Raw genomic sequence first — 13,050 nt, forward strand, 5'->3', positions numbered from 1 at the left:
GTTTGTTTCCAACAAATACAGAAATAATGGGACAGACACCAACTGTTTGCCTTCCAAACAGAAACTGTCCTGAGTACAGAGAGGGAACAGTGCTTACTGAAAAACATTACAAGGAGGTGGCAAAGAGAGCTTTTGAAGGGAAGAATCTCAAGATAGAAACTGATGCTAATATTTCTCAACTTTTTACTTTATTTTAGCAAGATGTACTGTTCTTGATTTTTGCTTCATGCAATATTCTTATGAGTTTAATTTGTAAAATTAGACAGAACTGAATCACTTTTAAAAGATCTATTCCAATGGAATGCTATAATACATCCATTTTGGGCAGTTGGCCTAGAGAAGCCATTAAATGGAAGGAATTCTGATTCCCTAGTCTTCCACTTTGGGGATTTTACAACGTCATTTATTCAACAGACAGTTTTATTTGGTACATAGATAGCACTGAGCTGGCATGGTGATGAACATGACCAGTTCACACCTTTCACAAAGCTCAGAGGCTAGTAGGGGATACAGACAGTGGCACTGGAGAGAGATAAACTGCCCCCGAGGAGAACAGGAGGGGCCAGGACAGGGGAAGGCGGAAGACACATGAGAAACATATTTCAGTGGAGCTGGAAGGCAGCACAGTGTGTGAGAATGGTCAGAGGGTGGAGGCGGGGCTTTAAACACCTGGAGTATTATCTTGAGAGAAACAGGGAGCCCAGGGAGGCCAGCAGACTCAGGTATGGATTTTAGAAAGATGTCTATATGGAGAATGGATTGGAAGAAATCAAGGTTTATCTGTGCAAGATGAATAAAACAGGGCCCCCACCCTTAAGGAGCTGAAAGTCTAAAAGGGGAAAAGATACCAGCAGGCAGTTAGAATGCAGGACAGTAAGTGCGGGGATAGAAATAGGCCAGGCAAATCCTTCAAGGAGGGATAAAAGTCAATCTTCAAACATTAACTTAAGCAGACCAAAAATTCTGATGACCACATCTAGATTATTTTTTATAAAAATGATTTTCACTATAGCTATGTTAGTTATGCTAAGCTACTGTCCAATCTCTTGTGATGTGTAACTTTTACATGTGAGTATTCAAGTAGATTTCTCTGTCAAAAAAAAAAAAAGAAAAGAAATAGGCCAGGATGCCATGGGAAAGCACCTGACTCAGGCTGGAATGAGCCTCAGGCCACTGTTTACAGCTGGTGTTTAGTCTCCACATAAGTCTTAGTCACAGAGGCCACCAGGCCACCACTCTTCTCCTGGAGACTTTTGGGAAGCTTCTGAGAAGGAATGAATGATGTGTGGCCCCAGCACAGCAGTACTCTTCTAAGAATTCACAGCTCTTTTTCTAAACTGCAAAGGTTTTTTAATGGCTGGACAAAAGCTGACTGCTAAATTTTTTTCATACAGAAGACCTGGATTCATGAGTTTCCTGGGAGAGAGGGAGAAGGGAGGCTCCCAATCCTTGACTTTATCTTGATCTTATCAGTTCCTGATCTGGTGGTCATGCAAGTAAATTGTTGTTTCAGGTTAAAGAACAAAGAGGACATTGTTTACCCCTTTGTTGTTAAAAAATGAAGTCTATTTTCAGATTTTAATCTCTGGACAAATGAAATGAGAGTTCTTGCTGTCTTACAGGTGATAAACAAAGGACTCTTTTTCTTGGGATCACTGATAGCCATCAGCAGTACCTACCTACTTATACACTACATGTCACCACGATCTTTCCTCCGCTTGAGAAGACCATGGAACTGGATAGCTCACTTCCGGAATACAACATGTTTCCCCGCAAAGGCCGTGGACTCCCTAGAACAAATTTCCAATCTCATTAGCAGGTGATAGAAAGGTTTTGTGGTAGCAAATGCATGATTTCTCTGTGACCAAAATTAAGCATGAAAAAAATGTTTCCATTGCCATATTTGATTCACTAGTGGAAGATAGTGTTCTGCTTATAATTAAACTGAATGTAGAGTATCTCTGTATGTTAATTGCAATTACTGGTTGGGGGGTGCATTTTAAAAGATGAAACATGCAGCTTCCCTACATTACACACACTCAGGTTGAGTCATTCTAACTATAAAAGTGCAATGACTAAGATCCTTCACTTCTCTGAAAGTAAGGCCCTAGATGCCTCAGGGAAGACAGTAATCATGCCTTTTCTTTAAAAGACACAATAGGACTCGCAACAGCATTGACTCAACACCTAGGACTAAAAATCACAACTTAACTAGCATGTTAACTGCACTTTTCATTACGTGAATGGAACTTACCTAACCACAGGGCTCAGACTTACTAGATAAAACCAGAAATGGAAATAAGGAATTCAGGGGAGTTCCAGAGACTTACAAAATGAACTCATTTTATTTTCCCACCTTCAAATATAAGTATTATCATCTATCTGTTTATCGTCTATCTATCTATCATCTATCTATCTATCTATCATCTATCTATCTATCTATCTATCTATCTATCTATCTATCTATCTCTATTTATTTATGTATTTAGAGATCAGGTCTCACTCTGTTGACCAGGCTGGAGTGCAGTGGTGAGATCTGGGTTCACTGCAACCTCTGCCTCCTGGGCTCAAGCAATCCTCCCACTTCAGCCTCCCAAATAGCTGGGGCTACCATGGTATTTTTCAGTAGAGACCGGGTCTTGCCATGCTGCCCAGGCCAGTCTCAAACTCCTGGCCTCATGTGATCTGCCCACCTCAGCCTCCCAAAGTACAGGGATTAGAGTTGTGAGCCACCGCTGCCAGCCCAGAGTTACCCTCTAAAGATAAGAAAAAGGCTATTAATATCATACTAAGTGAAGGACAGGAAAGGGTTTTATTCATAAATTAAATGTCTACATGTGCCAGAATGGAAAGGAAACAAGGGGAGACAACTTTTATAGAAATACAAAGCCATTACTTTATTCAATTTCAGACCCTCAGAAGCAATTTACTAATTTATTCTTCGACTACATACTGCAGCAGAACCAGCAATACACTTGATTTTTAAAAGCACATTTAGTGAAATGTTTTCTTTGGTTCATCCTTCTTTAACAGGCTGCTGAGTCACTCAGAAATCCTTCAAACATGATTAATTATGAAGATGAAACACTAGAGTCATATAAGAAATAAAAATTGGGCAATAAAATAAAATGATTCAGTGTTTCTTTTCTATATTGTCAATGAAAACCTTGAGTTCTAATAATCCATGTTCAGTTTGTAGGGAAAGAAAAAATAATTTTTCCTTCTACCCACTTTAGGTTCCTTGGCTGGGGCCCCTATAACAAAAGACAGATTGACAAGAGAAAAACAAACATAAATTTATTAGCGGGTATATGTAATATATATGTGGGAAATACAGGGGAATGAGCAAATCTCAAAGAGCTGGCGTCTTAGAACTCCCTGGCTTATATAGCATCGACAAAGAACAGTAAATTTTTAGAGAAACAACAAAACAAAGAAAAAGAGCTTTGAGTCTGTAGGGGCAGCAATTTGGGGGAAGCAAATATATGGGAGTTTGCCTTGTAGATTCCTCTGGTGCTGGTCTCCAGGCTGACAAGGATTCAAAGTTGTCTCTGAAACTCCTCTTTGTCATACTGCACATATAAAACGTCTTTTGTTTCCAACAAGAGGATTTTCTTTTTCATTCTAGAATTATCTCCTTGATAACTTGATCAGATATAGGACATGACACTGAATAGAGTCCAACAGTACAAAAAAAATTCAGTATGTTCTAGCTACTTCACACATGTGTACGCGACAGTTATTTTTACAGTAAGGTATTTTCGAGAAAAATGCATTACGTGTTTTGGAAAATAGAGTAATTTAAAAAATATATTTGAAATGAAAATCTCCAACACATTAGAAGATGATGATGTTAGATGCCCATCGTGTGCCACAAGTGGTTTTTTCATTATGTAAAGCACCCGTTGAATTAAAAGAATTTGTTTTTGTTCAACCTCTTCCTGAGGCCCAAGAGCATATGGGCAATTCGGATTTCCTGCTGGACCACAAGGTTCTGTTGATATTACATAGAACGGGTATTCCAGACACTTCTTATGATGAAAGTCCAAAAGTGGCATCCAATTTAAGGCCCCATCTTTCGTTGCCATTCTTCATTCCTACAAAGGACGAACTTGGATTACATCAACTTTGGACCCATTGGTTTTGTCGCTGTCGTCAACTGACAGTGATTCATCACTGGTGATGATAAAAATGATGGAAGAAGAGTTGAAAGTCACTTTTTTCTTTGGCCTGTCCCCATCTTTCTGTGACATCACAATGGGTCTGATCTGCATTTCACTTCCAGCTGCTGGTAGGTCTTTAGCAGGCCTCTGGCACCTCAGCAGTCGGAGGCACAGAAGCTGCAAAAGGGATCTTCGAAACTGGGCAGAGAAAAAATAAAGTGGAATATTAAGTAAAAGTTGGGCACTAATCTGGATTAACATTCGAGGAAATCAGTTGAGCTGAATTTAAGTTGTTTTTTGTTTGTTAGCAGGTGTGGATGTGGGGTTATGTGGTCATGCTCAGATCTACCTAAATCACCCCAGAGCTTTATGTCTTTTATTCATTCTAATTCTTATTAACCGGAATATGTAGGACCATTTCAATACCTTGTAATCCTCCAAGCTTCAATCTGCACACACTTTCTATGAGGGCAGGTACAACTATTAAGAGATTTTGAACATTAAGTTAGTCCACAAATATTCAGTGGGCATCTACTAGGTGACAGCCACTGTGCTATAATTAGAGACTTTTTACTATAAGCATCAAAAACAGATAAGGCTCTTCCTGGCAGAGTTTACAGCCTGGTGTACTTGCTAATGTCTCTTTAATTAGGTGAAGAATTTTTTTTTTCTATCGAAATTACTAATCAGTTGGGGAAAAAAATACTATAGCAGACAGCACTAATGTCATCAACAAACATTGTTCTTCTCCGTGTCCTGGGTACAACATCGAATAATATTTCTTGGCCTCCTTTCCGCTTCTCCTCTCTGCTGTTCCTCTCTACAAGAACCTGGGAGGCCAACGCCTAAAGATCATAATATCACACAATGGAAGGAACCTAGATTCCTAAATGACTGCATAGGACAGATCCCATCTCCTCCACCCAATACATTATTAGACTGAACTGTGACCTGAAATGAGCAATAAACTCTGTATTAATTCACTGAAATGTTGGGGTTGCTTGTTATAGTAGTCGGTCCATCATGACCAGTAAAACATAAATCAAAAGTTAATGTAATTGTTATCCCATTATTTAGAGCGAAATAAATGTTGAATATATGGACTTTCTCAGATTAGGAAATACCAATTAAAAATATAATAAATAGCTACATTGATTTCTGTCTTTTTTGTTTGTTTTTTGTTTTGTTTTGTTTTACAGCAAACACTGCCTGATAATGTCTTGAGCTCCAATCTTATGCAAGTTAGCATTCAGTTTATACTCACATTTAAAAATATTTATTTTTTCTATCTGATTCAAAAATTTAAAAAATAAAAATATTTGTTTGAGACTTTATTCACTAAACCATTGTTTGGTTAAGTGTTAAAGATACATTACTGTAAAGGTTAAATAGAGTATGTATGCCAAAAAACGTTTTTCCATATAAATGGTAAGCTCTTTGAGGACAAGGACCGTTGTTTTTATTTATTTGTTTTTGTTTGTATCTTTTAGACTTCCTGTTTAAAGTATGCCCTTAGGAACCAGAAACATCAGGACCATGTGGGAGCTTGTTAGACATGCAGAATATTGGGCAACCATACATACTGAAGGAGAATATTCATTTATTACAAGATTTCCAGGTGTGGTGTATGCACATTAAAGTTCTAGAAGCACTAATTTATAGCCCATTGGCTGAGAGAAAGAGTGCAACAAATAATTGTTAGTTAATGTATTTTAATTTTGTCTGTTGAGAGGGTGGTCCCTAAAATATCTTAACCTCTGATAGAAAATTAAAGTTATAAACCATCTCACTAGAAAAATTCATATGTGTGCATACTAAAAAATTGTTATAAACAATTTCCAGGGTTTCAGTGGCTCTTCTGAGGCCAACTCAAGGAATGTTTAGGTCCTATGGACTCCAAGTTTAAAATCTCTGGGTTAAAGGAAATAGACCAATTGAAGGCAACAAAACAGGGAAAGAAACACTGTCAGTGAGAGGAGATTAAGGCAGGTGAAAGTGAGTTTATGGAGAGTGTAAGCCAATAATACTCAAAGAGAAGGAAAGGCAAAATAAGAGGCAGAGAGATTTAGCACTGAACATAATAAGGTTATTACAAAAGTGCCCTCTTCTTCCACATTCTTGAGCATTAGAAGTCACAGTGATTATTATTGCCTGTTATTATTATGACCTGTTATCTTTAAAATTCCAATGGAGTAATTAAGCATTATCTTTAACTTTTAAATTCTCTGAAACGTAGAGGCTCAGCTTTATAATAATCATTTTGTGGGCTCTCCTAGCCATGACTCATAGCCATCAAGTCAAAACCTTTCAACTACAGAAACAGATGATAAGGAAGTTCCTCTTCTTTTTGAGACAGGGTCTCGCTCTGTCGCCCAGGCTGGAATGCACTGGTGCGATAGTGGGTCACTGCAGCCTTGACCTCCTGGGCTCAAGAGATCCTTTCATCTCAGGCCCCTGAGTAGCTGCGACTAAGGCACATGCCACCATGCCCAGCTAATTTTTTCTTTTTTTTTTTTGAGAGAGCGGGGCATCTCATTATGTTGCCCAGGTTGGTCTTGAACTCTTAGCTCAAGCAATCCTTCTGCCTCAGCATGCCCAAGTGCTGGGTTTACTGGCTTGAGCCACCACACCAGGCCCAGGAAGTTTCTTGAACCAAATTAATTTAGGCTAGACATTTGCTGTGGCATGTGAATAACAACCCAGGCCAATTGCTACAAGTATCTATAACCCCAAGTGAGGAGTTATAAGCACTGGATTTGGGGATTTGAGCAAACTAGGTTCAAATCCTGGCACCAATACTTCCTGGATTGGGCAAGTTATTTAACTTCTCTGAACTTATTCATAACCCATAAATAAAACAAGGAATAATATTAGTGCCTATTTTGTGGAGTTTTGTAAACTGGCTTGTAACTTGTTTGTGACTTGCTTGTAACTTGCTTGGTACAGTAGGAATTTTAAATGTATTATTAACATTGTAGCTGTTATTACTAGGCATAAACTATTTTCTGATGAATTAAATATTAGTTTTACTAGAATTCTACCTAACAAGTGTGAATCCCTATGGGTAGTTCTTAGAATTGTTATGATTTTCTTTGGAAATATTCTACATTTCTTCCAGATCCCTTTAATTCCTAAAAAATTCTTGTTTTTTTTTTAATTGAAGCGACTCTGAATCACCTCTGTAAAAGTATTACACTGTCATTTCCAACTCTATGCCCAGGGTGAAAACAATCAGTTAATTGCAAAGCTTACCTTTCTGATCATGAAGACATAAATCACTGGATTGTATACAGTGTTCGATTTAGCAAAGAGGTACGAAACAATAGATATTGTTGGAGTGACCAGGTGACCATGACCATTAACCACCAAGAAGCAGATCACGATATAAGGCATCCAACAGACCAGGAAGGTGAATATCATTAAAAAGCACATTTTGGCCAGTTTCTTTTCATATTTTAAAATCTTGATCACTTGAATTGTCTGAAGATCTTCCACACAACGAAGCTGCAGAAAGGAGAAAGAAAGGAAAGGGCTTAAAAAACAAAAGAAGGGTTTCTTTTGTTGTTTTTATAACAGATATTCAGACACCATTCTTGGCCCCACCTAAATGGAAAGAGAACTGAATGGCACCTTGGCAGGCTGACTTCTGATCCAAGACTCATAGCTGAGTCCAGCTTTAACCTTGCCGGGCCTCAGTCTCCCCACTTACAACATAGGGTGGTTGAGCTACAGAGCCTCCTACATCCTTCAGTGTTTTTTTTGACGTTCTCTTATTTACTTAATAAGAATAACATTATTTTGCCTAGATCTTCAAGTCTCTAAAAGACAGCCTGAGAGAGTCACGATAAAATGCAAAGAATTTCCCTGTGATCCTGGAAACTCTATAGAGTGTTAGTCCTCCAGTTCTCAAATCAGACTGCACACCCATGTCATGTCAGGTGTTCTGCATGATTAAGCCTGCAGCTGGCCTTGATGAGCACTTAATTCCCAAGTGAATTCTTACTGAAAACCAGCTTTTCAATTCACTGCTAATGACTGTAAAGTAGAATTTCAGGAGAAATTTGTTTGTGATTGGCTTCATTAGGGGATCACTTGCAGAGAACAGCACTTGGTAAAACAACTCCTTCCTCTAAAACCAGCCTGTCTACTCGCAGTCTGTTCCCATTAAAGGGATGGAGGAGTAATGATGTACAGCCTGAAAGTTCTTTGAGTTTCTTGAATATGTTTCTTTTTGCTGTTTCTCCTATTATTATATATGTGTCATAATAATACACAGGCAAAGAATATTTCTGCACACCAAAAATGTGTTCCTAAATCAAAATAGTTCTCTCTAAACATTGTAATAAGTTATATGAATTATACTACAAAAATACAAATACTCTATATATTGATTTTTTAAGTAGTTAGCATATAGTTAATACTTAGTATTGATTACTTTATGCCTGGAAATTTACTGCATTTCAATGAACTCTAAGTGTACCTTTTGGTTCTAGCATTATCATAAAAATTAAGAGAAAGAATTTCCAAAGAAATCATTTAGAACATGTGCTTAGATTATTTAGAAATATATTTTAATTAAAATTCTCAAATTACTGATATCCAAAATTATATTTAAGAAATTATATTCTTATCAAAATCATGTATTCAGATTAGCAAAGAATAGAGAGAAATAGGAAAAATTTAAATCATTGATTTTTTTAGGGTAGAGAGACTATGTGCAGGGAAAAGTGGGTATTAAATTTCTGGTATTAGTTTGGTGCAAAAGTAATTGTGGTTTTTGCCATTAAAGGTAAACCTTTGAAGGTCACCTTATTTAAAGGTAAATAATATTCCTTTACCACTATGCCAATTACTTTAAAAAATCAATATATAAAGTATTTGTATTTTTGTAGTAAAATTCATATAACTTATTACAATGTTCAGAGATAACTATTTTTATTTAGGAACATATTTTTGGTGTGCAGAAAGGTAAATAATTTACCTTTAAAAAAGGTTACCTTTAAAGGTTTACCTTTAACGGCAAAAACCGCAATTACTTTTGCACCAACCGAATACTACTATTCTGTGTGTGCAATTCTATTTTAAAAGAAACTGTTTTATTTAATGGGATAGAATATTTTTCTATTTTCAAAACATCATTTTGGGGGAGCTTCCCTAGTTTATAGGAAGGCTGTGGGGTTTTGATAAAAGGTCTAGATTTGGAATTAGAAGATCTAAGTTTATATCCCAGATTAACCACTTTTGCTCGCAGTGTGATATTGAGCAAGTCAACAACCTCCTCTAAGAGTAAACAAGAAAGGAGGTAAAGCAAAAAAACCTATGAGAATTAACAGAACTTGAGTTCCATTTCCACACGTATGACTTTGTGGGGTTGTTTTTGAGGTTAAATACTTATTTATATTTGAACTAGATATGAGACTAACACACTTGTATGTATATGTACATTTATGATACTATAGGATATCTGGAATCATTATTGACTCTTCAGAGTTTCAATTAACAAGCAACATAACCACATCTCAGTTATCTGCCTCCCAAACCTCCAGTATTTAGGTCCAATCGTTTTATCTGTACCATTTTCTGGGCAGGTCAGTCTTTATCCCCTCTCGCCATTTATCAAAGGAGAACACTCATTTATCCATCTTGGAATTACATGCATGCTGGGGAAATTAATTTAAATAAATGTTTGTCTATACATCCCCAGTTCCTCTTTGGGATAAGGAGAAGATATTGACTAATGTTTTAGATTATTTGGGTTTATATATGTGAAGTTTTCATGATTATTTTTTATTTATCTTTTTCAGGCCTCTTTCTTTCATTACTTTCTATTCCTTCATTCTGCTCATTAAATATTTTCCAAATAAAAAACTCGATTTCATGTCTTACCCTCTTTATTCAATCATTTGAGGATAGTTTTCAAAATTGCTATGGATGAAGCAATTTTGAAATGATTGGCACAGGCACAAATTTGTCCTAAAGAATGAACCAGCTAAGACAAATTCTTCAGAATTCTCTATCAGATTGTTCTCTGGCTGTATAAATGGCTGGTGCCTAGTGCTCCTTAATCCAAGACATCTGTAGATTTTCAAAGAATTTCACTGTGAATCTTCATTCTCAAGTGTGTAGCTATGTCTCCATCGTTGTTATGAGTCACCTCTCTCTGAATAAGGAAACGGAGGCAAATTACTTGCAGTGAGCTCTCTGTTTAGATAGCAGCTAAAGTCAAATCTCTTCACACTTTCACCCCTTCTCCTGTCTTCCCCTTTCTATGCCCTCTGCTTGTAACTCATTCCAAAAATAGTCACTGATTACCTACTACATGCAGACACTGTTCCAGTCACAGGTGAGAAAATACATAAGACCCAGTCTCTGCTCTTGAGGAATTCACTATTTGGTGAGGATGATGCACACTGAGCGGGTAGAAGCCATGAGGGAGGTAAACAGGGAGGATATGGTAGTACACAGGATGGGAAACTGGTTCTGAGGGTGGGTTAGAGCAAGAAAATCGTGCTGTTAGCCTTGTGAGGGAAGGAGGAATTAGTCAAGTAAGGAGGAGAGACAGAATGTTCCAGAGAAAGAAAGTGTGCTAAGACAAGAGGCAAAATAAAAAGTCAGTTTCTGAAAACAAGAAATATTACCATTGGCCGCATCATGAGGTGGCAAGAAGACAGGAGTGTCAAGAAATGAGGCTGGACAGGTAGACAGGAGATGCCATACAGGACCTGCCGGCCACACCCAGGGGCTTTATTTTGAGTCACAAAGACAGTGGAACTTCTGAAGGTAATACTTGAGAACAACTACTCTGATGGCAGTGTGTAAAGAATGGAATAGAGGAAAGCAAAAATTTTAAAAAGGAGAACTAAGTTTTTTTTTTTTAACTGAGTCTGTGGCAGTGGGAGAGGAAAAAATGGATATACCAAAAAATATAGGGCTAGGAGCAGTGGCTCACACCTGTAATCCTAGCACTTTGGGAGGCCAAGGCGGGCAGATCATGAGGTCAGGAGTTCGAAACCAGCCTGGCCAACATGGTGAAACCCCATCTCTACTAAAAATATTTTAAAAATTAGCCAGGCATGGTGGTGGGCACCTGTAATCCCAGCTACTCAGGAGGCTGAGGCAGGAGAATTGCTTGAACCTGTGAGGCGGAGGTTGCAGTGAGCCGAGATTCTGCCATTGCACTCCAGCCTGGGCAATAAGAGTAAAACTTCGTCTCAAAAAACAAAACAAAACAAAACAAACAAACAAACAGAAACAAAACGAAACAAAAAAACATGTAAGTGGCATGGATAAGAACTGATCAATAGTTGTGTGTTGGGGGAGACATGGATGACACATAGTCAAAGATTACTCCCTAATTTCTGGTCTTGGTATCTAGGAATGATGACTATTCAATGAGAAAGCAAATAGACGAGCAGAAGATTTTAGGGAAAATATGACAAATTAATCTTTATATTTGTTAAATTTGATGAGTCTGTGGACCATCCAAGTGGAGGTGTTCAAGAGGCAATTGACTACGAGGATCTGTTAGAGGCTGGAAGAAAGACCTGAACTGGAAATGGAGATGTTATCAAGCTTGTGTCAGAAGGAGAAATCCTGGCAGTATGAAAGACCACCCAAGGCCAGTGTGTAGCATGGGACAAGAGCTAAACATAGGATGCTGGGGAGGCCCAAAGAAGAGAAGCCCTTGGAAGAGATAAGAAGATGGCGCCAGAGAGTCAGCAACAAAGACAGCAGAGAAAGGCGCCCTAGAATCGATGGCAGGAGACCACCACAAGAAAGTAGAAGTTGGCAATAGTCTCAAACGCTGAGGATGCTAGAAAGGAATAAAAATGTGTCCATGGGATCACATATCTGGGAGCTCATCAATGACCTGAAATGAGGGCTGTATTAGTGGCAGTGCGGTAGAGGAAGGAGTCACAAGTTTGCCTTAAGTTGAGGAATGAATGCTAGATAAACTTACTAAACTACCAACTCCCTGAACTACAACAGAAATGTATTTCTCACAGTTCTGGAGGCTGGGAAGTCCCAGGTAGAGTAGCTGGCAAGGTAGGTATCATTCTGAGGCCTCCTCTCTTGACTGTTATCTCACTGTGTGCTTCCATGTTCTCTTATTTATGCACTCGTGGGAAGACAGAAAGAGAGACAGAGAGAGAGAGATAGAGATAGAGAGAGAGAGAGAAAGAGCAAGCTTTCTGGTGTCTCTTCTTACAAGGACACTAATCCCCTAATCCCATCAGACCAGAGCCCCATCCTCATGACCTCCTCTGACCCTAATTACCTCCCAAGGCCCCATCCCCAAATACTGTCACATCGGTGGTTAGAGATTCCACGTAGGAATCTGAGAGGGACACAAACATTCAGTCTATAACAGCAAGAAATTGGCATATTTGATATGCTCAATAAATATCAGGTAAATGAATGCTTAGTGAGTGACATTGTGGCACCAAGAGTCACCAATGGTTCTTTGAGTTAGCAGTGACAAAATGGAGAAAAATAAAGTGATAGCTAGAGGGAGCTGAGAGTAGATTGTGATTAAAAACAAAATAGCCTGGTAATATGCTAAAGGGAAAGGGCCAGTGGTAAGGGAGAGTGTGAAGATACAAGGGAAAGAGAAAATTATTAAGAAGTGTCTCTGGGGCATGGAAGGGGGTGGGGGAGCAATCAGAATACAGAATCGAGTTGGTCCTGGGAGACCTCTCCTGTCGCCCTGTAACTGAAGAGAGAGTCCTAAGAATCAGTGGTTTGTGTAAAGAGAGGTAAGGAGTCAAAGGAACCCTTGATAATGGCTTTGTTTGGTCCGATAAATCAGAAGCAGACTTACTTGATAAGAATGAGAGGAGACAGTAGGGTGAGAAATTAAAATGAGAAATGAGTCTGTGTAATAGTC

At 38.3% G+C, this 13,050-nt stretch overlaps 2 protein-coding genes across 3 annotated transcripts in view; one reads left to right on the top strand and one right to left on the bottom strand.

Annotated features, from left to right (window-relative positions):
* KMO (kynurenine 3-monooxygenase) overlaps positions 1 to 5,312 on the top strand; it is a 63,265-nt gene extending 57,953 nt beyond the window's left edge. For both annotated transcript variants that reach the window (NM_003679.5, NM_001410944.1), the window contains exon 15: positions 1,623 to 5,312. In NM_003679.5, coding sequence (NP_003670.2) covers positions 1,623 to 1,823 — 201 coding nt within the window. In that variant the 3' untranslated portion in view covers positions 1,824 to 5,312. The remainder of the gene's footprint in view (positions 1 to 1,622) is intronic.
* The window catches only part of OPN3 (opsin 3), a 47,246-nt gene continuing 36,989 nt past the window's right edge, over positions 2,794 to 13,050 (bottom strand). Inside the window, exons 3-4 of the mRNA NM_014322.3 lie at positions 7,416 to 7,667; positions 2,794 to 4,361 (exon numbers count right to left, since the gene is read on the bottom strand). Coding sequence (NP_055137.2) covers positions 4,098 to 4,361; positions 7,416 to 7,667 — 516 coding nt within the window. The 3' untranslated portion in view covers positions 2,794 to 4,097. The remainder of the gene's footprint in view (positions 4,362 to 7,415; positions 7,668 to 13,050) is intronic.

Source organism: Homo sapiens, chromosome 1 (assembly GCF_000001405.40).
Source record: "Homo sapiens chromosome 1, GRCh38.p14 Primary Assembly".
In the NCBI taxonomy this organism is placed as follows: domain Eukaryota; kingdom Metazoa; phylum Chordata; class Mammalia; order Primates; family Hominidae; genus Homo; species Homo sapiens.